This window comes from Homo sapiens, chromosome 10 (genome assembly GCF_000001405.40).
Source record: "Homo sapiens chromosome 10, GRCh38.p14 Primary Assembly".
NCBI classification, from domain to species: domain Eukaryota; kingdom Metazoa; phylum Chordata; class Mammalia; order Primates; family Hominidae; genus Homo; species Homo sapiens.
The window spans coordinates 92,527,388-92,552,603 of NC_000010.11; the positions used below are offsets into that span (position 1 = coordinate 92,527,388).

A 25,216-nucleotide genomic window follows, 5' to 3' on the forward strand; every position below is an offset into this window, starting at 1 on the left:
TTTCCTTGTTCCTCAAAATTATCTTAGCTATTCTTGGCCTTTTACTCTCTTATTAATTTTATAATGAGATTATACAATTCCTAAAAAAAAACTTACAGGACTTTCAACTGGCACTGCATTGAATTTAGAGAAATTTGGGGCATATTTACATTTATGTTATATAGAGTTTAACCATCCATGTGCATGATATACCTCCCCATTTAGGCATTCTTTTATATCCATTACATATTTCTTGCAACTCTTTCATTGGATTTATTTCTGAATATTTTACAGCTTTGTTAAATATTGCAAATGAAATAATTTTTACCCCAGCATTTTCCTGTAATTGATTATTGATACAAGAACATGGCCGGGCACGGTGGCTAATGCCTGTAATCCTAACACTTTGAGAGGCCAAGGCGGGTGGATCACGAGGCTGGGAGATCGAGACCATGCTGACTAACATGGTGAAACCCCATCTCTACTAAAAATACAAAAAATTAGCTGGGCGTGGTGGCACGTGCCTGTAATCCCAACTACTTGGGGAGCTGAGACAGGGGAATCGTTTGAACCTGGGAGGCGGAGGTGGCAGTGAGCCAAGGTCACGCCACTGTACTCCAAAGAACGCAATTTTAGTGTGTTTGTCTTCTTTCTGGCAACCTTGCTGAATTATTTTTAATGACTGATCTGAAGATTTTCTTCAGTATTTTTATGGAGGCAATCCTATCATATGGAAATAAGGAAATAGGTTTTGTTGTGCTTCCTTTCCATCTCTTATAATCACATTTTCCCCCTTGATTTATTGTAATGATTAATACCTGTAAGTATAGCCAAACAAAAGTGATAGTGGGCATCCTTATTTTTTCAACAGAAATCCTTTGAAACCTCCATTAATCATGAAGTTTGACAATAGCTTTTAATCAGCTTGAAAGTTTTTTATTGTTGTGGTTTATTTTTGTTCATGGATGAGTGCTGTGTTTTATCCAATGCTCAGAGTCTACTGTCTATCACTTTGGACTACTAAAACTGTGGGTCAGGACCCATTATATTGTAATTAAATGCATTTAAAGTATTAGCAGATCAGAGTTTCTCTAGAAAAAAAAAAAAACAGAATATAAGGGAAAGTGCCAGACTACATCCCATGATGTAAGATAGTGTTTGACAAAATTTTGTTTCAGCTGCTTACACAAACACATATATGTACTCTGAATTGCTAAATAAAATGTGCTTCTTACTATGAGTTGTATACAAAAAAGAGTTTGAAAGCCACTAATCTATACTATTTCTGAGCATGAAAACCGACTGTTAGGGACAAACATCTTACTGTAAAGTTTTCTTAAAACAGATAATACAATGTGTGGTTTTTATTCATTCAAAAATACACACCTTTTTCTGGTATTATTATTTTAAATCAAAATCCCTTGATGAGACCAGGCGTGATGGCTCATGCCTGTAATCCCAGCACTTTGGAAGGCTGAGGCGGGCAGATCACTTGAGGTCAGGAGTTCGAGACCAGCCTGGCTAACATGGTGAAACCCCATCTCTACTAAAAATACAAAAATTAGCTGGGCATGGTGGTGGGTGCCCGTAATCCCAGCTACTCAGAAGGCTGAGGCAGGAGAATCGCTTGAACCTGAGAGGCAGAGGTTGCAGTGAGCCAAGATCACCATACTGCACTCCAGCCTGGACGACAGAGCAAGACTGTCTCAAAAAAAACAAAACAAAAAAACAAAACAAAACAAAAAATCCCCTGATGAACAAAGTGGCCCACACTCACAAAAACATCTGAGGCCAAAGCAATCTACATAAATTAGCATGAATTTCTGACAAGGAACCTACTGCAACGATCACTTTTGCAAAGTTTTCAATATGCATAATATCTGAGATAAGGGCATACAACTGTCATCAAATTTTCAAATGTACCTGTGACCTTAAAAATACACAGAACTTCTACTCCAAAAAATTCAACGTAAGTTTATAATTCTAAAATCAGAAGGTAACTTGACATTTGCATTACTTATATCACATTTTCTGTACTGTGTATTGAGTCTGGCTCACTTGTTTCTCAGCTGTTTATATTACCTTGTACTTTGCTAACTGCCTAGCTTTTCAGGCTATAAAAAGAAATATGCCCTGAAACTTCACCCATATGGATATGCCATGCAATGTATCTCTTTGCCCATCATTCCTGAAACCCTTCTATAGAATATTTTAAGATTGTTCTTGTGGCCAGGCATGGTGGCTCATGCCTGTAATCTCAGCACTTTGGGAGGCGAGGCAGGAAGAATACTTGAGGCCAGGCGTTCAAGACCAGCCTGGTCAACATAGTGAGACCCCACCTCTACAGGAAAAAAAAATGTTCCTTGTTTGTGACCAGAAGTAACACTACTCACCTTATTCACTGGATTTATTTCTGGAAAATGTGTAACTGCTTTCTGATTATGCTGATTATAATTTGTCACCAGTGAAGCTATTTAAAAAAAGGCAACTCCCAAAGAGGAGCTCCAACATATTCTGCAAAATAGCAGCATTGTTTGTGTAAGTATCTAACATACCAAAAGGACTACTTTAAATAATCGCCAGGCGCAGTGGCTCACGCCTGTAATCCCAGCACTTTGGAAGGCCGAGGCAGGCGGATCACCTGAGATCAGGATTTTGAGACCAGCCTGACCAACATGGAGAAACCCCGCCTCTACTAAAAGTACACAAATTAGCCGGGCATGGTGGCGGGCGCCTGTAATCCCAGGTACTCAGGAGGCTGAGGCAGGAGAATTGCTGGAACCTAGGAGGCAGAGGTTGTAGCGAGCTGAAATCAGGCCACTGCATTCCAGCCTGGGTGATAAGAGCCAGACTCCGTCTCAATAAATAAATAAATAAATAAATAAATAAATAACCATTTGAATGTAATGCTTTTGAAAAAACAAAAAAAAAGTTGTTGTTTTTTTTTTGAGACAGGGTCTTACTATCACCCAGGCTGGAGTGCAGTGACTCAATTGTGGCTCACTGCAGTTGAACTCACTGGCTCAAGCCATCCTCAGCCTCCCAGGTAGCTTGGACTACAGGCACACACCACCATGCCTGGCTAATTATTTTATTTTCTTGTAAAGATAGTGTCTCACTATGTTGCCCAGGCTGGTCTCAAACTCCTGAACTCAAGAAATCCTCCCACCTTGGTCTTCTAAAGTGTTGCAGTTACAGGCATGAGCCACCATGCCTGGCCTGATATTTGTTTTTTAAAACTCACATTCCATTCTTGACATACCATGTATACTGATGTTCTCCACAAAAATCACTTTTTAAAAAATTCAGCATTATGTAGACATTCTAAGAACCACACTATTCATCTTGGCAATTATGTTAATATTGAGTGCCAAGTACCACGGTTCTAAAGAATATAATATCACTGCTTCAAAGTATAATTTTTGAAAACTCCTAATTCTGTAAAGCTATGCTAATTTCTCTGACTGCTGTTGGATACATTAGGATGATATCCAAACTTAAAGAAAGTTGTCTTTATGGTTTTAAAAAGTTCCCAAAACTAATTTATAAAATAAGCATGTTCTCATAATAGAGAAGTGAATTTTTAAGCATAAATTTCTAAGTACATTAAATAATATATTATCATTATTCTTATGTACTTTTATAATACCCAAAACAGTATTTTAAAAGTATAGCAATCTGTTAACAATGATTACCTCTGGTGAGCATGACTGGCAGGAATAGATAAAGAATAGACAGACTTTGTGTTTCTGCTTTTATTTTTACTCTAAATGCTTTTGTACTGTTTAAATATTTAAACAAGTACTTTTTTAATGAAAAATTGAAGAAAAAGGTACAATTATAAAGTCAAGAGTCTCCACGTTTATCTTATTCTACTTCCTGTTATCCCCATTTCTTATCTCCCTCTAGGAGATTGTAGCACTTTAAGAGCTGGGATCTTGTGTGTCTTCTACAGTGTCCTATCTCCCACAGAGCTAACCCCATAGCAGACGCTATGCATCTGGATTAGCAGAAGTAGAGGCAATGAGGACAAGTGGATTCAACAATACTACAGTGAGCCTTTACAAAAAAAAGTACTTTGGAAGGTAGGCTTTGGAATAAAAGAATCTATTATCTTCTCCATATGGAATGCTGGTTAATATCTATTCACAACTCTAACTGCTCTGCTCCTTAAACGTTTAGAACCCTATTTGAACAGGATGTAAGTAGAAATGTGGAATTTTGAAATCTATCCTGAATTGTAAAATATGCCATGAACTGTATATGCCATGGGTTATATACATAAATATATACATAAATATATTTTATATATACATAAAATATAATACTATGCAGTGGCCATGGGTTTAAATGAGGTCAAGGAAAGCAGCTGTTGACAAACCTGTCCCAAATTTACTGAAGGGGTGTTTAGGATTCCCTGTAGCTTTTTCCAATTGAAAGAGTCTCCAGGCATCATTCATCACATTCTTCTCATGTTCTGAATCAACTGCATTCACCTCTCTGTCTTTGCAACTTTCATCGAACAAGGGGCACAGAAAAAACTGTGCAAACCTAAGGGTACGAAACATAATTAAAACTTGAAAGATGTCATTTTAAAACAATAGCCTTTTAGAAAGATTTTTGGAACTTATTAGATAGGAAATGTAAATTTTGCAGAATCAGAAACAAAACTACCATTGCTACTAAGAAAAAAGGAGTATAAAATAAGTGCTATGTAACAGAAGAAAAATCTAATGTTGAACAGAGGTAAATGCAGAGGAGTTGATCTACCCCAGAGATGATAAACAGTGAAAATTTAAAAAATTAACACCAAAAAAGGCAGATTATGGACAATAGCAGTCTATTTAAGATTTTTAATTTGGTACGTCTATAAAAACTTTGTTACATGTGGCTAATGCTCCAAAAAAAAAAAAAAAGAGAAAGAAAGAAAAAGGCAGGTCATAGTTTTTAGGCCAATCTTAAATTTACAGTTTTAGGTGCAATTTCACTTAGACTCAGGCACCTTAGGACAAACAAGTGACCTACTTTTAACAGGCTCAATTTGAATATTTCTTTCTTCTTATGTAGAAAAACAAACTTGAATTAGTAGGAAAAAACATAATGCAGTAAAAAACCTGAGGTATGACATAGTTTGACTAAGCCATGATTATGGGCGTTTATGAAATCATAAGAGAAAAAGTCCATAAAATTTTAATAAGCAGTGATTCAATAAATAACATGGTATGTAACTTTAACATAAGTAACCAATATGCCTTTCTTGAGGCTATTCCTTAATAATAATACCTAACTTTAAGATACCTACAGCTAATAAATTAACTCTTCTATATCAGGTTGAATTTAACTCATGATTCCTGTAGTAATTCTTAAGAAACTTTACATCCCATTTTATAGAATAAGACTTGATTCAGATGAAGCTAAGAGCAGAGGCTCTGAATAGGACTACTTTATTCAGTGGGCCTAAGGAACTCTTGGGTCCATAAACATCTCAGTTACTACGCCTCACAGTCCAGCTGTCACAGAAGCCATTATCATTACTTGTTATTTACTTTAAGTGCATAAGAAAATATGATACTATGCTAAGTACTTTACATATACCACAAGGGGAAACTCTATCTATCTGGAGTCTATAATCAAAGATGTATGAAAACAGATGATTTCTGGTCACATAACATCTTTTACCCACCTCAATACTTCCAGGCTGGGAAAAATGTCTAATAGCTACATACCAAAGCTGGATAGGCCCAGATAAAGGATCATGTTATGACACAGTATAATAAAGTTTTTTAAATGATCCTCTTATACAAGTGGATTTTTAGTTTGAGCCAAGTAACAGACATCCCCCATCATACAGAGATCTATTATATGAACATCTGCTGCAGCATTTGTAAAGCAAGAGATGAAATTCAGTGTATGATCCCAGGGAACTAATTAATGGAAGTCTTCTGGGAATACATATTAGCGATGATTACACCTCAAAGCTGCTGCCTAAAGACTGAAACATAAAATAAAATAAGTAGGAAACAGACTACTTTGGCCCAGCACATCTCATAAACCCATAACCTTGCCTTGATAATGTTTTTTCAATAATATAATAACTATTATTAAAAGTAAGCAAATAAAGCCGACAGTGACTAAAACTGCCAAATTTCATTATAGATCCAAAAAGTTGCAGAATTACACCTTGGCATCACAGAAAACTATAAATATTCACCAAGGATAAACAAATAACTACTGCCTACCATAATGCTTTGGACTACCAGAGTGTAGTCCATTATTTGAGTCAAATAATGAATCAAATCACTGATGCAACAAAAAAATTAGAAATTGTTAGCTGTATAAAAAATTGACCAAAAAAAAAAAAAAAAAGCTGACCAAGGCTGGGCGCAGTGGCTCATGCCTGTAATCCCAGCACTCTGGGAGGCTGAGGTGGGTGGATCAACTGAAGTCAGGAGTTCGAGACCAGCCTGACCAACATGGTGAAACCCCATCTCTACTAAAAATACAAAATTAGCCAGGCGTGGTGGCACATGCCTGTAATCCCAATTACTCGGGAGGCTGAGGCAGAAGAATTGCTTGAACCCGGAAGGCGAAGGTTGCAGTGAGCCAAGACTGCACCATTGCATTCCAGCCTGGGAAACAAGTGCGAAACTCCGTCTGAAAAAAAAAAAAAAATTGACCAAGAAATTAAATCATCCTAATGGAGCTTGCTCCAGAAAACATTCAAAATATCCCCACGGTTGACCAAGAAATTAAATCGGCCTAATGGAGCTTGCTCCAGAAAACACTTTCAAAATATCCCCACGGTTGAAACAGCAGGTCAAAACGTTCTGTATCTACTAAGCATCCTTGAGAAGCAAGGAAATGAACGAGGAGAGAATATTTAAGGTTTAGCATTCTGGAACAGAAGTATGTCTGAAAAGAGATCAATGACATTATCACAGGTTAGTCCTCATCACATGCTTTATATGTAACACCAGTTAGAATGGAAAGGGCTGCTGAAAATTCTATACCTCAATAAAATATTTTGTAGGCCTGAAGGCTCATTTAAAATATGACATCACTCATTTTTTCTTTTTCAGAAAACACAGGGAAAAACACTGTTTAAAATACCTTTTGTTAAATTATGAAGCCATCTCTGTGGAAATAATAATTATTATTATTAATGTGATAAGTACACAAAGTTGGATAATTCATAGGGTATTCTGCATTACCTGTCTAGGGCACCTTCTAGGTGTTCATGAGAAACATCAAAATAGTAATTGGTATGCTCTCCACTAGTAAAGGCATTTGAACTTCCTGCATGCTCACTGAGAAACTGGCTGTATTCATTTTCTTTAGGGTATTTCTTTGTTCCCAAAAAAAGCATATGTTCACAAAAATGACTTAAGCCAGCAATATTTGGAGGATCCGACAATGAACCTGAAAGAGAAAACACGTATATAATAAATCATTGTCCTATGCTGAAAGTTAGTAAGTACAGGTGATTTGTAGTTCTTGTTAGCATGACAACTCCAACTATATAATCAGAGAAAGTTAAGCACAAGCTACCTAAAATGATATTATTTAGAAAGTAAATCAGTAGTCAGAAGACTGGTTTCTAGTGCCTGCTCTTGACGCTAATTAGTTGGTAACCTCAGGCAGGTTACTTAGTGTCTCTGAACATTAGTTTCCCCACATGCCGGAGAGGAAGAAAGAGCTGGATTCACAGTTTTAAGAGGTAAAATTTTCTTTTTATTTATTTATTTATTTATTTTTGAGACGGAGTCTTGCTCTGTCGCCCAGGCTGGAGTGCAGTGGCGAGATCTTGGCTCACTGCAAGCTCCGCCTCCTGGGTTCACGCCATTCTCCTGCCTCAGCCTCCTGAGTAGCTGGGACTACAGGCGCCCACCACCGCGCCCAGCTAATTCTTTGTATTTTTATTAGAGGCGGGGTTTCACCGTGTTAGCCAGGATGGTCTCGATCTCCTGACCTCGTGATCCGCCAGCCTCGGCCTCCCAAAGTGCTGGGATTATAGGCTTGAGCCACCACACCCAGCAAGAGCTAGAATTTTCTTGTCATGATTTCATTGCAGGAGACTATACAGCACAGTGTTAACAGCATGCGTTTGGGGGTTACCACTCTACTGGCTGTGAAACGGTAAGCACAATACTGTACCTATCTTGACTCAATCGCTTCAATATATACCCATCTTACAGGGCTGTGTGAGTACAAATTAGATGACATATGCAAATCACCCTGGTAGTCTAAGGCATTATGGTAGGCAGTAGTTATTTGTTCAATATTACCTTATTTCTTCAGTTCTAAAATGACACTGAGTTAAAAGTTTTTCAAAGAGGACAAAAAGAAACACTGTCCCACTAACTGTACACATACATAAAAAGCAACTCGGCCAGGCACAGTGGCCCACACCCGTAATCCCAGCACTTTGGGAGGACGAGGTGGGTAGATCATCTGAGGTCGGGAGTTTGAGATCAGCCTGGCCTACATGGCAAAACCTCGTCTCTAATAAAAATACAAAAATTAGCTGGGCGTGGTGGCGGGCGCCTATAATCCCAGCTACTAGGGAGGCTGAGGTAGGAAAATTGCTTGAACCTTGAAGGTGGGGGCTGCAGTGAGCGGAGATTGCGCCACTGCACTCCAGCCTCGGCAACAGAGTGAGACTCTGTCTCAGAGAAAAAAAAAAAAAGAAGCAACCTGATTAAAGCAACATTAAATGTGTAAGAAATGTGCCCATGGCAGGGCATGGTGGCTCTCGCCTATAATCCCAACACTTTGGGAGGCTGAGGCGGGTGGATCACCTGAGGTCAGGAGTTCGAGACCAGCCTGGCCAACGTGGTGAAACCTCATCTCTACTAAAAATACCCAAATTAACTGGGCATGATGGTGGACGCCTGTAATCCCAGCTACTCAGGAGGGTGAGGCAGGAAGATTGCTTGAACCTGGGAGGTGGAGGCTGCAGTCAGCCGAGATCACACCACTGCACTCCAGCCCGGACGACAACAGTGAAACTCCGTCTCAAAAAAAAAAAAAAAAAAGAAATGTGCACACAAGGCTGGGAGCAGTGGCTCACGCCTGTAATCCCTGCACTTTGGGAGGCCGAGGCGGGCAGATCACCTGAGGTCAGGAGTTCAAGACCAGCCTGACCAACATGGAGAAACCCCATCTCTACTAAAAATACAGAATTAGGCGGGCGTGGTGGCACGCGCCTGTAATCCCAGCTACTTGGGAGGCTGAGGTAGGAGAATTGCTTGAACCCGGGAGGTGGAGGTTGCAGTGAGCCGAGATCACACCATTGCACTCCAGCCTGGGCAACAAGAGCAAAACTCCCACTCAGAAAAAAAAAAAAAGAAAAAAGAAATGTGCACACAAGAACCTATGAAATATGGTATTAGGCCAGGCACGGTGGCTCACGCCTGTAATCCCAGCACTTTGGGAGGCCAAGGCAGGCAGATCACAAGGTCAAGAGATCGAGACCATCCTGGCCAACATGGTGAAACCCCATCTCTAATAAAAATACAAAAATTAGCTGGGCATGGAGGCCCATGCCTGTAGTCCCAGCTACTCAGGAGGCTGAGGCAGGTGAATTGCTTGAACCCAGGAGGCAGAGGTTGCAGTGAGCCGAGATTGCGCCACTGCACTCCAGCCTGGCGACAGAGTAAACTCTGTCTCAAAAAAAAAAAAAGAAAAAGAAAAAGGAATGTTATATTAAATGTACCACGGTAAAAAAAAAAATCATAACTGTTACTGTAAAGAATGGCAATGAATTTTTGCTGCTAGGTCACCTTAGGTGGGAACCTAACAAGATGTCCTTAGAAAATGTAAGATTATTTGACTGAAACAACTGCAGTTTACCAATAGCTTTACGAGGGTTCTGGTATAAAATAAGGTACATGGAACCGGTAACTATTGAGTATTTAAACACGTATGGAAAGTTCTAATAAATGTCAGCATTAGGTCAATGAAACAAAACAAAGCTTAATTCACAATTTTCAATTGTACCTATGTGCACATCAAGTGCTGCTGATGACTTATCCGTGGTGGGATCACTGATAAGAAGTACTTTGATACCATTGGCCAGCTCTAGCCCTCGATATTCTCGCTTGTCTTCAGGAGACTTGGTAATGTGATTTCCTATTCTCTTGATGGCTGGATTATTCATTTTGCTGTAAGTCTTTTTTTGGAAACTGAAAAGAAAGAGATTTTTAATTGTTGATTTGTGACTTTATATTTAAGGACAAACAATAACGTCAAGTAAACCCATATAATACATCATCAGATTTTTCTAAATGCTGAAGGAAACCTTTTATAGCCACTCTACAGGGTGCAGTCATTCCTTTCCTCCCTCTTACCCCTCATTCTTTCTGAGAAATGCTAACAAAATTGTTTTCATGGAGCCATATTTGTATCTGAAAGAGCACATGGATAGGGATTTGAGATAGGGTGGGTTAGACCATGTGTTGGCCTGTATGCAGAACTAGAATAGAGTTTTTTTTGCTGGTTTTGTTTTTGTTTTTTTGAGACAGGGTCTCAGTTTGTCACCGAGGCTTGTATGCAGTAGCGTGATTTTGGCTCACTGCAGGCCTCAACCTCCTGGGCTCAAGTGGACCTCATCCTCCTGTCTCAGTCCCCCCAAGCAGCTGGGACCACAGGCACTCAACACCACACCCAGTTAATTTTTTGCATTTTTTGTAGAGATGGGATTTCAACTTGTTACCCATGCTGGTCTTGAACTCCTGAGCTCAAGCCGTCTGTCCACCTCAGCCTCCCAATGTGCTAGGATTACAAGTGTGAGCCACTACGCCCCGACCTAGAATAGAGTTTTATTTCACACTATTTCAGAGGTATCTGCTAGAATAAGTGAGGTGAGATGTTGTGTAAGAATTATTACTGGGTTAGCCCAAACACTGCTCAAACTGATGATATTGAAAGATAGGGTAGATCTGGAACTCGCAGGTCTGACATACACATGCTCAGAACATAGGGAACAACTCCCATAGGGAACAACCCCCAATGAGGAACAATCCTGTAAAGTTCTAATATAAAATAAGAGACCGGTGCTGTCCTATGACGGCAGCAATAACAAGGACATAAAACAAACAAACAAAAAGTTGGAAGGACCCCAAGTATTTTTGTAACCTGCTGAAGAGCTGAATGCCAGAGCAGGAAAAGTCTGGCAATCTTAACAGAAATGTCAGAAAAATTCTCTTGCAAAGGGCTTCCTCTGACAGTCTTCTTTCTTCTCTACAAAGGCTAGATTACAGTGATGGGAAAGGACTATCAGTACACAGAATCATGTAGGGATGTTGGTTGCAATTAGTGCAGTGAAGGGACTTTCCAGAGTCTGGGGTACGCATGTTTTTTGAGAGTAGGGTAGATGTAACTTTTGTCTATACTGGAGATTGCTTAATAGACAAAAAAAAAAAAAAACTGAAACTGCTACTACTGGCAGGTTAATATACTGCCAGTATATAATTAAGTAAAGCCAAAAACATATCTGGAACTACAGAGGAAAAATAACCCTCTATGAGCACATCTGCTTCTTACCTACAAGACAAAACTAAACAGATCTGACTGTTCCTTAAAGACTGACAGCTAGATTTAAACGTAAGTAAGAGGGGGAAGAAATAGGCATACAATTATTTTAGATAAGTTTTTTCTGTGTTAAAATCTCTAGAGATTGAGAGAGGAAAAAAAATCTAGTTTGCTTTCACCATTATATTTTCCTCTCTGAAATCACCTATAACTATTCTTCCAATCTGCATAACAATTGATAAATCAAAGGGGTTTGTTGCTACTAAGACTGTCCCCTAGATCCCCTAGATCTTTTTTTTTTTTCTCTCGCCCTCTCTTACAGTGCTGATAGATCTTCTTTAGAGGAGAGGAGATACGGAATTTTAAAGATCAACATATCACACTAAATGTATAATACTGGTTTTAAAAATCACATAGTACTTTACAACAGATAGTGCTAATGGTCTCCTATTTATAGTAAAAATCATTTCTTGAAAAACAAAGCATAAAATATAATACTAACATATTGGGGCTATGTTAGTAGGTCACTGTTGGAAAATTCAAAAGCAACTTGAAACTGAAAAGCCATTATTAACAATTATTTTCAGCCAGGCACGGTGGCTCGCGCCTGTAATCTCAGCACTTTGGGAGGCTGAGACGGGCGGATCACAAGGTCAGGAGATCAAGATCATCCTGGCCAACATGGTGAAACCCTGTCTCTACTAAAAATACAAAAATTAGATGGGTGTGGTGGCGTGCACCTGTAGTCCCAGCTACCTGGGAGGCTGAGGCAAGAGAATCGCTTCAACCCGGGAGGCAAAGGTTGCAGTGAGCTGAGGTCAAGCCACTGCACTCCAGCCTGGCGACAGAGTGAGATCCTGTCTCAAAGAAAAAAAAAAATTATTTTCTTTCTCATTAGCCATAAGCCACTAAAATTCAATGGCAAAGAACGATGAAAATATCTGAGTGCCAAGTCTAAAAAATGGTGTTTGCGGTAAAATAGTAATAATTCTCAGGGTGACAGGAAATGGTCTATTTTAGACTCTAAAGAGGGGTACAAGGAACCTCAGATAACAGTCCTAGGCCAGGCACAGTGACTCACGCCTGTAATCCTAGCACTTCGGGAGACTGAGGCGGGCAGATCATCTGAGGTCAGGAGTCTGAGACCAGCCTGGTCAATATGGTGAAACCCCATCTTTACTAAAAATACAAGAAATTAGCTGGACATGGTGGCGGGTGCCTGTAATCCCAGCTATTTGGGAGACTGAGGCAGCAGAATTGCTTGAACCCGGGAGGCAGAGGCTGCAGTGAGCCAAGATCATGCCACTGCACTCCAGCCTGGGCGCAACAGAGCGAGACTCCGTCTCAAAAGAAAAAAAAAAAAAACAGTTCTGGTTAAGACATTTGGCAAAGGACAATCTGTTTAGACTGCAGCAAATGCCTTCAGTGTGTACACAGTTTGTTTCAAAAACATTAATTTGAGTTCAATATAAATTAAACTATTTTTAAAAATGAATCCAACTTAGCAGCGACATAACACTAAATAAGCCACAAGGCAGCCTCCATTAAGACACCCAGCAAGAAGGGCAGTGTTAAAACGGCAGTGTTAATAAGAACCTCCGTGTGTACCAAAGAGAATGCCTGAACTTACCCCAGGCAAGAATCTACTCCAGGGAGAAAAGAGGTTGGTCTTCTGGTGATAGTTATACTCAATTTCCTCTGTGGTGCTTGACCTAGTGAGTTTGACTTAGGTAACCAAAAATTACAAATGACTGAAATGTAATAATGATGATGATGATGATGGTCTAAAACTTCTGTCCAAACCACAACTGTGTAGAGGGGAGATGAAATATAGCTCACTTTGGAAGTATAAATTAACTTACTATGTGGGAGGTTAAAAACTCTATATAAAGATAACCACCTCAACTATAAGCTACACTCTGTACTTTTTTTCAGGGTTTCAACTTCCCTTATCTGGATTTTAATTTTTTTAGACAAAAAAAATTTAAATTGTAAAACACAGAGTAGGATGTAGGTAGACAGAACAGTTCCAGCCCAGTAAGAACTATTTGCAAATGATCAGAATCCATCACAGCCATGGATATAACTTATTTGGACGCTGAAGTTGTGCTGGATTAATATTCCTGATATGGTTGAGAATAAAGAGATAGATTTATTCTACAAGTCACACATAAAAATTAGTCCAACTACTAGTGTACAAAGGATCAAGAAAAGCTAAAAATTTCCAAGGTGGCAATACTCCCTAATCAAATATCATGACTTCTTGAGGAAGTAAAACCCAAAAGAAATAGTAGCAACATTTTCAAACAAAACCTATTCCTGGCAATCCTATTCAATACAAAGTCTGGGTTTACCTATAGCATATCTATAAACACTTCCTACAACGATTTGATTCTCACCTTCTGGAGAAGTGAAGACAATGACTGGGAACTCTTCCTCCTCTGATGATGAATTCATCAACAGCTTGCCTGTCTCTGTATTTATACTCATAAGATCACCTGTCTATCTACTTCAGATCATTAGCATAAAGCCTTCAAGAGTAATTTTATTTATGGCAAATGTTCTCCAATAAGCAAGCATACTGACAATTTAGATGACGAGCTAGTGTTAACTCAAATGCTTTCCCAGACATTTATATTTTTAACTTGTTAAAGTTAAAATTTTAGGAGCAATAAAATTACTTTCAATTCTAGGGACATTGTCATACACTGGAAACTTCATAAGGCACAGAACTGTCTTTTCAGCACTCTGATAAACTGGAGAGATATTTAGTAATTACAACATATATTTTGTCATTCTGCTCAGAATTTAAAACAATGACTATAATCACAGAAGATAAAAGCTGGAAGAGCCACTAGATGTTATCTAGTCCTTTGCAGTTCAGGGACTGGCTACACTGGCTTCTCCTGGGAGCTTGTTAAAAATGCAAAATATCAGAACCCACCAGAGACCTACTGAGCCATAATCTGCATTTTAACAAGATCCCCAGGTGGGCTAGATCCCCTCATCTTACATACAAGGAAACTGAACCTCAAGGAGTTTAATAAATCAGTTGCCCAAGATCATACAACAAAAAGTTATAATCAAACTCAGTCTTAACTCCCAGTCCTGTGTCCAGCCTCCCCTCCACATCCAAACAAACACTTAAGGAAGTCTATTAAGGTCCAGGCATCACACTATGCAAATGGTTACAAAAATGAGTACACCAGAGCCCTTGTTTTGAAGGAACCTAGACTAGTGATGAAGTCAGATATAAAAACAGGTCATTATCTTTTTTTTCTACTTTTTGAGACAAGGTTTCACTCTGTCACCCAGGCACAATCTTGGTTCACTATAGCCTCAACATCCCGGGCTCAGGTGATCCTCCCACCTCAGCCTCCCCAGTAGCTGGGACTATAGGCACTCACCACCGTACCCAGCTAATTTTTTGTTTTGTTTTATAGACAGGGTTTCGCCATGCTGGCCAGACTGGTCTCGAACTCCTGGCTTCAAGCAATCCACCCGCCTTGGCCTCCCAAAGTTCTGGGACTACAGGCATGGGCCACCGTGCCTAGTCTCTAGGTAATTTTTTTGTAGAGATGGGGTTTTGCCATGTTGTCCAGGCTGGTCTTTCAAACTCCTGGGCGCAAGAGACTGCCGCCTTGGCCTCCCAAAGTGCTGGGATTACAGGCATGAGACACTACACCCAGCCCAGGTCATTATCTTTTAAGTGTGGTGACAAAACTTTCCCTGGGGCACTATGGGAGTAACCCTGTCTAGGAGGGGGAGTAGAAGCACACCAAATAAAAGGCAAGGGGACAATCAATCAAAGTAGAAGGGAATTCGTGAGCGAAGCCTGACAATGAGGAAAAAGCATGAGGAATACAGTGGAAAAACAAGAAGCGTGGTGCTAATGAACTACAACAGGAACTCCAGGTCAAGATCATGGACTAAGACATGTAAAGGCCTAAATTTCAGGTTTGCAAAAACAAATCCCCAAATATAAGGTCATTTCCAAATTCCACACCAAGAGTAAATTTTACTCTGCAAAGAATCTTTTATTCAGGTGACCTTTCAGTCTTTCTCATCTCTCTTTAAAGTGTTTCATGATCAATATAGTAGCAGATTGGGAAATTTTACTTTGCTTTTTGCTTCCTACTCACCTCCATTGGTCTCTCACAAATTTAAAGTCAGACCTGATTTAGAAATAATGACCTATAAACCTGAACAGGTGAGTGATCACGTTAATAGTGAATTACAAACCAAAACCTCCCTTCTGTGGAATCCATCCACCCACTCCCAAAACCATAGGTGGAAGTCAAGGCCTATAGCACTCATGCATGTGGAGGAGGAGCCCAGAGAGAAAAGGCATGGAATCAAAACCACACCACATAACATTCCCAGTTCCTTGCAGAAGGTAGAGGTAAATAAGCAGAGGGTGACAAGATAGTGGTGGTATGAGCCCAAGGATGCCTCAACATATTAATGCTTAAGACCATATACCCCAAGTACTATTAATAATACATGAACTAAAAAATAACAACATGTCTTAGGGAACCACCTACCCAAAGCTCTTCAGTTATAGGAACAGGTACACCTAACTTCATACACCAGCTAGATCATAAAGTTGGGTACAAAATAAAATCCTGTTAAACTTATTCACCCCTGATGTTTTGCCTTTGTGCCAGGCAGAATATCAGCTATCGTAACTCTATGTCCTGGCCCTCTGGAAAGGAGTTTATGATCAACAAATAAACCCTTAAATGAAGTAGGGTGGTTGCAATTTAAAGAAATTCTAAAGTAGTATCATTCTAGAGAGAAGTGCTTTTGCAAATGTTGTTTTAGTTTGATGCATGCCTATCAATGGTTGTTCATTCCAAAAGTGACAAGCTTAACACAGAACACTTTATAGAAACGTTATAAAGTTTAAGCAAGTGAATAAAACCTCTGTTTTAGACCTTGTGCCACAGAGGTAACTATAGAAAGTTTCTTGTAGTTTGGGTACCAAGGGTGTTTCACAAGTATCCTTCTTCCACATGGAGTTTTCAGGGCTGTTAGGAAATGTAAGATATAGGCCGGGTGCCGTGGGTCACGCCTGTAATCCCAACACTTTGGGAGGCCGAGGTGGGCAGATCACCTGAGGTCAAGAGTTTGAGACCAGCCTGGCCAACATGGTGAAACCCTGTCTCTACTGAAAATACAAAAATTAGCCAAGCATGATGGCGCATGCCTGTAATCCCAGCTACTTGGGAGGCTGAGGCAGGAGAATCACTTGAACCCAGGAAGCGGAGGTTGCAGTGAGCCAAGATTGCGCCACTGCACTCCAGCCTGGGTGACAGAGCGAGACACCATCTCAAAAAAAAAAAAAAAAAGATAGAATACCATTGTACAAATCTAATCCTAACAATCACTCTCATTTTTTTAAAGTGTCATAGGCTTTATAAACTGTTCATTTAATCCTTCCATTCTCCTTAAGTGGTGGGTCGTAACAGCTGTTCGCAGTCATCCTCTTCAACTCCAAATGAGAAACAAAAGCTCAGTCAGTGCTTGCATACTAAAGTATAACCAAAAAGAAAAAAAAGAAAAGATAAGTGGTTAAGTGACTTGCCCAAGGGCAAGCTGATTGTGGTAAAGCTGGAACTACAGAGAAAGAGGAAGCGTGGGAAGGGGAGGGACAGAGGTGGTGCTGAAGGAAATCATACACTGGTTTATTCTCCAGCTCCTGTTTATCACCCTCACAGTCCTTCCCTAGCCCCATTCTTCTTCCCTTACAATCCCAAATAACAAAAGCCAGGAAACAAAAATTAAACTAGGTCAAAATAAATGCTCCAAGGAAAGTTTTCAGTTTTTCACTCCTTCTTCTGCATATAAAACACAGGTAGTAGGGGGAGTCTGCAATGCTTCTAATCTACCAAAGGAATCCCTTAGCTAAGAACCATAATACATGGCAGGATTAAATGTATAACAGGTTTAAAGCAAGAGAGTATATGTACAGAACTGACTCATGCATGAAAGGAAACATAAAAACAAGTACTACAGTAGACATGAATGGGTTTAAGTATACTATTTTTTAAAAGTATACATTAAACCATATAATCAGAAAAAAGAGAAGAAAATCATAATCATCTTGGTAGCTGCAGAAAAGTACTTAAATTCAACAACCATTCACGTATTTTTTTAAAGTCAGCAAACTGGAATTAAATTTATCCATTTTAAAAAGAATATCATAGAAACTATGGTAATTATCATACTCAATGGTATACTCAATAGTTTACATTACAATTAATGTAAACAATCTCCCGCCCTCCCCCACCAACACGATGCCACTAACACTTCTTCTATTTCAACATTGTATTGGTAGTTCTAACCAGTCCAAATAAACCAAGAAAAAGAAACAAAACACATAGAGATGGGAAAGGAAAGAGGAAAAAAATTAACATGATTCTCAAGCAATATGATTATGTATATAGAAAATCCCAAGAATCTACTGACAACTTCCACTTCTGGGTAGGATATAGCAGCTCATGGCAAACTAATTCAGCTTCAACAACTAGAAAAGGCCATGATAAATTACAAAAATCACATTTGCAAAGATGTTGGAAAGTTGTGCAAGCAACAAGGATTGGATAAACTAGTTCCAGAAAGGTGAGCAACCTCTGAGGTGAGCTGATAATCATCATTCATTTTCTTATCTGGGAATATCTGCTAATTCTGAGTGCAGACTGAAGATCATGCTTGCCCTAAGCAAAGGGACTGTACTGGACGAAGAGGTATTATTGAGGCTTCAGTGGTGGCATGAAGTTGGTGTGACAGATTAAAGTCCCAGGAGGTCCCAAATTTGCAACTAACTTTCCCAACAGAAGATTTTCTGAGATACTACTATGTATTTACCAGAATGGCTAAAAAGAAAAAGAGGGCAAATACCAAGTGTTAGAGAAGTTAACAAACTCTCACACACTGCTACAGACATGCAATTTGGTATGGGTACAACCATTTTCAAAAACTGGCACTATACACTAAAGCTCACACTATGACCTAACAATGCTAGTAACAGATAAATAACCCAAATAAATGCATTTATATGTTCATAGCAACACTATTCAAACTAGCCCAAACCAGAAATGATCAAATGACAATCAACAGTGAAATGATAAATTGTACATGCACACAATGGAAAGTATACAGCAATAAAAAGGAATAATATAGAACAAAGCACAATAAACATGAATCTCACTAATATAGGGTTGAGTGAAAGAGGCTAGACACAAAAGAGTAAATACTGTAACCTTCCATTTATACAAAGCAGAAGAGCAAGTAAAATCAAGCTATGCTTTCATCCCAGGATAGTCATTACCCTTGGGAGTGGGAGTAGTGATTGGATTTGGAAAGGAGAATGAAGGGGGCTTTGGGGTTCCAGGTCATGTGCTGGTTATACAGGTACGTTCAGTTTGTAAAAATGCATTAAGTTGAACACTGCCATCTTTCAATTAAAAGTTCTTAAAAATAGAGCTTTTCAAAATATCATAAAACACAGTAAAATAAAAGGAAGGGGGAGATACATGAATTACTGATATTACAAATATCAACCGCCAAAAATCATCCTGGAAATAGTACCACTTGAATACTGGAAAGCAGCTACCCATACCAAAGAGGTGCTAAACTAAGAAGGCTCACTAAGGAACAGTAGTACAATTAACATAATTAAACCTTCTCAGGTGTGTCTCGAGACAATTATTTCAATTATTTCTGTTGATGCTATCTTGGCCACAAGAAATAGGAGGCCCATGTAAGTACAGCATCAGTCAACTAAGTTAATTCAGTATGCTAAATCTTTTAACTCAGGACTTTACTCATTACATATTATTTGAAAACTAGCTTTTAGTAATTACTTTAGACTCTAGTTAAGATCTAAAAATAAAACTTGACACTTCCAGTAACTAATAGCTAAGTATAACATAGATAAAAGCAAAATGATTAAACTTTGAATAAATTCTCCCCTCAACAATTTTCAATATTTATACCAAACAACTTCTAATTCAGGATTTGAATGAGAAAAATTATTTTTAAAACAAAATTAAAAGAATACCATATAACGTTAACATTTCTTCAAACTCAACTAATTTTACATATGGGCAACCTCCCACAGATGCTTCATGAACCCAGAACAGCAAGGGCAGCTTAAAGACACCTGTCATGGTTTTCTTCTTCTTCTTCTTTTTTGTAAGATAGGGTCTCACTCCCAGCGCCCAGGCTGGAGTGCAGTGGCACTATCATGGCTCATGACTTCCTGGGCTCAGGTGATCCTCCCACCTCAGCCTCCTGCGCAGCTGGGACTACAGGCATACGCCACCATGCCCGGCTAATTTTTTGTATTTTTTTTTTTTTTTAGTAGAGACAGGGTTTTACCATGTTTCCCAGGATGACTCGAACTCCTGGGCTCAAGCAATCTGCCCGCTTCGGCCTCCCAAAATGCTGGGATTACAGGCATAAGCCACTGCACCTGGCCTGGTTTCTAAAGATCAATTCAAATCACAGGCTGGGAAGAGTTATCGACCTGTAAGTAATTCTCTCAAGATAGCCTTCTAAAAAAAGCAAACCATAAATATCCCTTATCAAAAATGGTTGGGATCAGATGTATTTCAGATTTTCCTGGATTTTTAAATATTTGCATTACATTTACCGATAGAGCATCTACTTTGAGCATCATGTTGGTGCTCAAAAAATTTAGAATTTTGGAGCATTTCTGATTTTGAATTTTGAATTTTTCAGATTTGGAATGCTCAACCTGTATTCTGTACAGACAGTTCAGTTCCACTCATATGTACAGAAGATGATCTGCCCAACTCAGAGAATGCTGCCTCAGGAAACTTGACCTGTACTTTGCCTTAGGTGTGATTCTTCACTGTCTGCACTGATCTACTGACCACTTCCAGCCCGTGTTTGGTAATTACATACCCTCACCTTTACCAGATGACCTCTCTGCTCCTGAGGCACTGGATACTACTGGACTATTCTGGTCAAACCAGACTTTCTGGCCTCATCTAGCTTGTTTTTTTAAAAAACAGTTCTCCCTATGTTGCGCAGGCTGAACTTGAACACCCAGGCCCAAGCGATCCTCCCATCTCAGCCTCCCAAGTAGGATGGTGTGCCATCGTGCCCATCTTGGCCTCATCTAGTTTTGACAATCAAGAGTCAGATGAGGCCAGGCGCGATGGCTCATGCCTGTAATCCCAGCACTTTGGGAGGCCAAGGCAGGCCGATCACCTGAGGTCGGGAGTTCAAGACCAGCCTGACCAACGTCGAGAAACTCCATCTCTACTAAAAACACCAAAATTAGCCAGGCGTGGTGTCAGACTCCTGTAATCCCAGCTACTCGGGAGGCTGAGCAGGAGAATCGCTTGAACCCAGGAGGCAGAGGTTGCGGTGAACCAAGATTGTGCCACTGCACTCCAACCTGGGCAACAAGAGCAAAACTCCATCTCAAAAAAAAAAAAAAAAAAAAAAAAAAAAAGAGTCAGATGAAATGTATACATGGCTCATTAAATTGACAGGGGCACCTATAGTTGCATCACACTCAGACAACCTTTCACAGAGTTTCTCCTGTAAAATATGTTTATATAAACTTCACCAAGGCATAGTTCCTGGTACACAGTAGTCATCCATGAATGGTAACTTGATTATTATAAAATCATCATCATTATTATGGTCGCAGTGGCTAAGGTGCAAATGAACCACCTCCATAACCACCATGTTATTACCAGCATTCTTAACACATACTTATGTGAATTCCAGATGTTATTTGTCATCTCTGGAGGTCAAAAACATTCATTAGGTAGGCTGATAATAGGATTATACTTTATAAGACTATTAGGAAACCAGGTAAATAATTATCCCTTTATAATTGCTATAGATGAGCCAGTGTTTATAGTAAGTAGTTCTCAATGGGTGACTATTCCCACTCACCAACCCTCGCTGAGGACATATGGCAATGACTAGAGGCATTTTTTATTGTCACAACTGAAGGTGCTAATGGCACATAGTGAGTAGAGGCCAGGGATGCCACTAAGCAACCTACACTGTATGGGATATCTCCCACAAGAAAGAATTATATGATCCACACCTGTAATCCCAGCACTTTGGGAGGCTGAGGCGGGCGGATCACATGAGGTCAGGAGTTAGAAACCAGCCTGGCCAACATATTGAAACACTGTCTCTACTAAAAATACAAAAATCAGCTGGGCATGGTGGCACAAACCTGTAATCCCAGCTACTCGGGAGGCTGAGGCACAAGAATCAGTTGAATCTGGGAGGCGGATGTTGTGTGAGCCAAGACTGTGCCACTGCACTCCAGCCTGGGCAACAGAGTGAGACTGTGTCTTAAAAAAAAAAAAGATTTTGGCACAAAATATCAATAGTGCTAAGGATGAAAGACCCTAGCTTATAGTTCTGATTTTATTACCCCCAAAATAATGGATGAAAATCAATGCAACCAATTCTATCCACTTAAATCCAAGAGACAGCCTCATTAAAGTACAGAACGCTTCTATAATTAAACTCCCATCTATGTATCTACATATCTCTCAATCAATCAATCAATCAATCAACATCTAAGCCACAAAAGATTTACATAAAGAGAGGAGAAAAACTGATAATGAAAGAGAAAGAGAGAAGGAAACTTTACAGGAACCTTGTCCTAGAGTAAGGAATCTAGTACGTAAGTGAAGGGGTTAAGCTTAGAAAGAAGCAAAGCCAGTATGTCAGAACAGATGCTTACTGAATACTCAGTCAGTATCTTGTGGCACATATACTTGTTTAGGGAATAAATCTATTATATATTATACATATATATAATATATTCAATAAACCCCTTATATAGATCCTATTAGTCCCATTCTTTACTGGATGGGGAAATTAAAGCTCAGAAAAGTTATTTGGTTGGAACCACATAGGTATAAAATAGAAGAGCTAGGATTCAAACCCAAGTCTTTAGACACAAAATGACCATGCTGTTTAACACTCCACCAAGTTAAAAGTTCATCTCAACACTTTGGGAGGCCGAGGCAGGCAGATCACCTGAGGTCAGGAGTTCAAGACCAGCCTGAACAACATGGAGAAACCCCGTCTCCACTAAAAATACAAAATTAGCTGGGCATGGTGGCGCATACCTGCAATCCCAGCTACTCGGGAGGCTGAGGCAGGAGAATCTCTTGAACCTGAGAAGTGGAGGTCGCAGCAAGCTGAGATCACGCCATTGCACGTCAGCCTGGGCCATCTCAAAAACTAAGTAAATAAGTAAATAAATAAATAAACTGACCTATATTAAAATAAAAAATTTCTGTGCAAAGGACACAGTGAAAAGGCAACCTGTGGAGTGGGAAAAAATATCTGATAAGGGGTTAATATCCAGAATATATTAAAATCTGCAACAAAACAACAAAAAATTTCTAAATGGGCAAAGGTCTTAAAAAGCCACTTCTCCAAAGAAGATATACAAATGGCCAATAAGCATATAAAAAGATGCTCAACATCACTAATCATTAGAAAAGTACAAATCAAAACTAAAATGAAGTACCACTTCATACCAATTAGGATAATTATTTTAAAAACACTGTGAATACAAAAAATTAGCCGGGTGTGGTGGCAGGTGCCTGTAGTCCCAGCCAATCGGGAGGCTGAGACAGGAGAATGGTGTGAACCCAGGAGGCGGAGCTTGCAGTGAGCAGAGATAGCGCCACTACACTCCAGCCTGGGCAACAGAGCTAGACTCCGTCTCAAAAAAAAAAAAAAAAAAAAAAAATCGTGGCCAACATGGTGAAACCCCGTTTCTACTAAAAATATAAAAATTAGCTGGGCGTGGTGGCATGCGCCTGTAGTCCCAGCTACTCAGGAGGCTGAGGCAGGAGAATGGCATGAACCTGGAAGGCAGAGCTTGCAGTGAGCCGAGATCGTGCCATTGCACTCCAGCCTGGCAACAGAGCGAGACTCGGTCTCAAAAAATAATATTAAAAAATAAAATAGAATAAATAATAAGTGCAGGTGAGGATGTAGAAAAACTGGAACCTGTGCACACTTGCTAGTGGGAATACAAAATGGTACAGCAGTATGGAAAACTGTATGGCAGTTCCTCAGAAAATTAGAAATAGAATTACCATGTGATCTAACAATTCCACTTCTGGATACATATACAAAAGAAATGAAACCAAAGACTCAAACAGATATTTGTACAGCTATGTTCATAGCAGCAGTACTGGCAACAGCCAAAAGGTGGAAGTCACGCCAGTGTCCACTGATGGATGAATCAGTAAACAAAACGTAGTTTATACAATAAAATTTATTCAGCCTTAAAAAGGAAAAAAATTCTGGCACATGCTACCATATGAACCTAGAAGACATACTAAATGAAATAAGCTGGCTGGGTGCAGTGGCTCATGCCTGCAATCCCAGCACTTTGGGAGGCTAAGGCAGGTGGATCAGGAGGTCAAGAGATCGAGACCATCCTGGCCAACACGGTGAAACCCCATCTCTACTAAAAATACAAAAATTAGCTGGGAGTGGTGGTGCACACCTATAGTCCCAGATACTCAGGAGGCTGAGGCAGGAGAATTGCTTGAACCCGGGAGGCAGAGGTTGCAGTTAGGCAAGACTGCACCACTGCACTCCAGCCTGGTGACAGAGCAAGACTCCATCTCAAAAAAAAAAAAAAAAAAAGAAAAGAAATCAGCTAATCACAAAAGGACAAATACTACACAACTCCACTTATATAAGGTACCTAGAGTAGTCAAATTCACAGACAGAAAACAGACAGGTGGTTGCAAGGGTCTGAAGGGAGGGGAAATGGTGAGTTATTATTTGATGGGTACAGAGTTTCAGTTTGGTGAGATGAAAAAAGTTCTAGAGATGGATGATGGTGATGGTTACACAACAACGTGGATGTATTTACTGCCACCGAACAATACACTTAAAAATGCTCAAAATGGGCCAGGTGCAGTGGCTCATGCTTGTTACCCCAGTACTTTGGAAAGCCAAGGTAGGAAGATCACTTGAGGCCAGGAGTTTGAGACCAGTCTGGGCAACATAGTCAGACCCCATCTATACACACACACAAAAAGGTCAAAATGATAAATTTTATGTTACATATTCTTTATCACAATAATAAAACCAACCATGATGGGGGGGTGGGGTGAGAAACAATCAATATTCTAACAAACTAACCTAACAACTATAAATGAGTAACATAATCACATTGAAGGAGTGTAAAAGAAAAGAACTTAACTATGGAAAGCTGGATTTTGACTGGATACAATAAAGCCTAAGAGAAAAAGAACTACATGCAAATATTGTGACCTATTTTAAAAATGTTTCTCACAGGTGAGCTAGCAATTATGAAACTATGTGTACACTAGAATTGAGGAAATAAGAAAGTAAATTGTAGAAAATGAAATCCAGTGTTCTCATTGTTGGAAAAAGATGTTATAAATAAGAAATGGGAGAAGGCTACAATTGTGGTACTAAGTTGGAATCAAAGGTATCAATACAAACTTATATTTTTATTATATACAAAAAGACATAGAAATATAAAAACGTGTATATGTGGCTGTCCACCAGAGGCACTAGACTGGCCGGCCACTAGAAGCAATGACACCTCAGCAACAATGAGCACATCTAGTGCCCAGATCTTGGTCTGCGAAGATTATTTTCTGCTCAGGTGAGTTGGCTCACGCCTGTA

General features: G+C 39.5%; 1 protein-coding gene across 16 annotated transcripts in view; it reads right to left on the reverse strand.

Annotated features, from left to right (window-relative positions):
• The window catches only part of IDE (insulin degrading enzyme), a 122,410-nt gene that overhangs the window by 75,704 nt on the left and 21,490 nt on the right, over nt 1-25,216 (reverse strand). For 15 of the 16 annotated variants that reach the window (NR_136399.2, NM_001322794.2, NM_001322793.2 and 12 more), the window contains 3 exons: nt 9,979-10,163; nt 7,191-7,398; nt 4,361-4,530 (listed from right to left, as the gene is read on the reverse strand). Coding sequence is in view for 15 of the 16 variants with exons in the window: in NM_001322794.2 (NP_001309723.1) it covers nt 4,361-4,530; nt 7,191-7,398; nt 9,979-10,163 (563 nt within the window). In the remaining variant the exon portion in view is untranslated. Of the gene's footprint in view, nt 1-4,360; nt 4,531-7,190; nt 7,399-9,978; nt 10,164-13,910; nt 13,967-25,216 lie in introns of those variants that run through there. The other variant, XM_017016187.2, reaches the window with a different exon arrangement.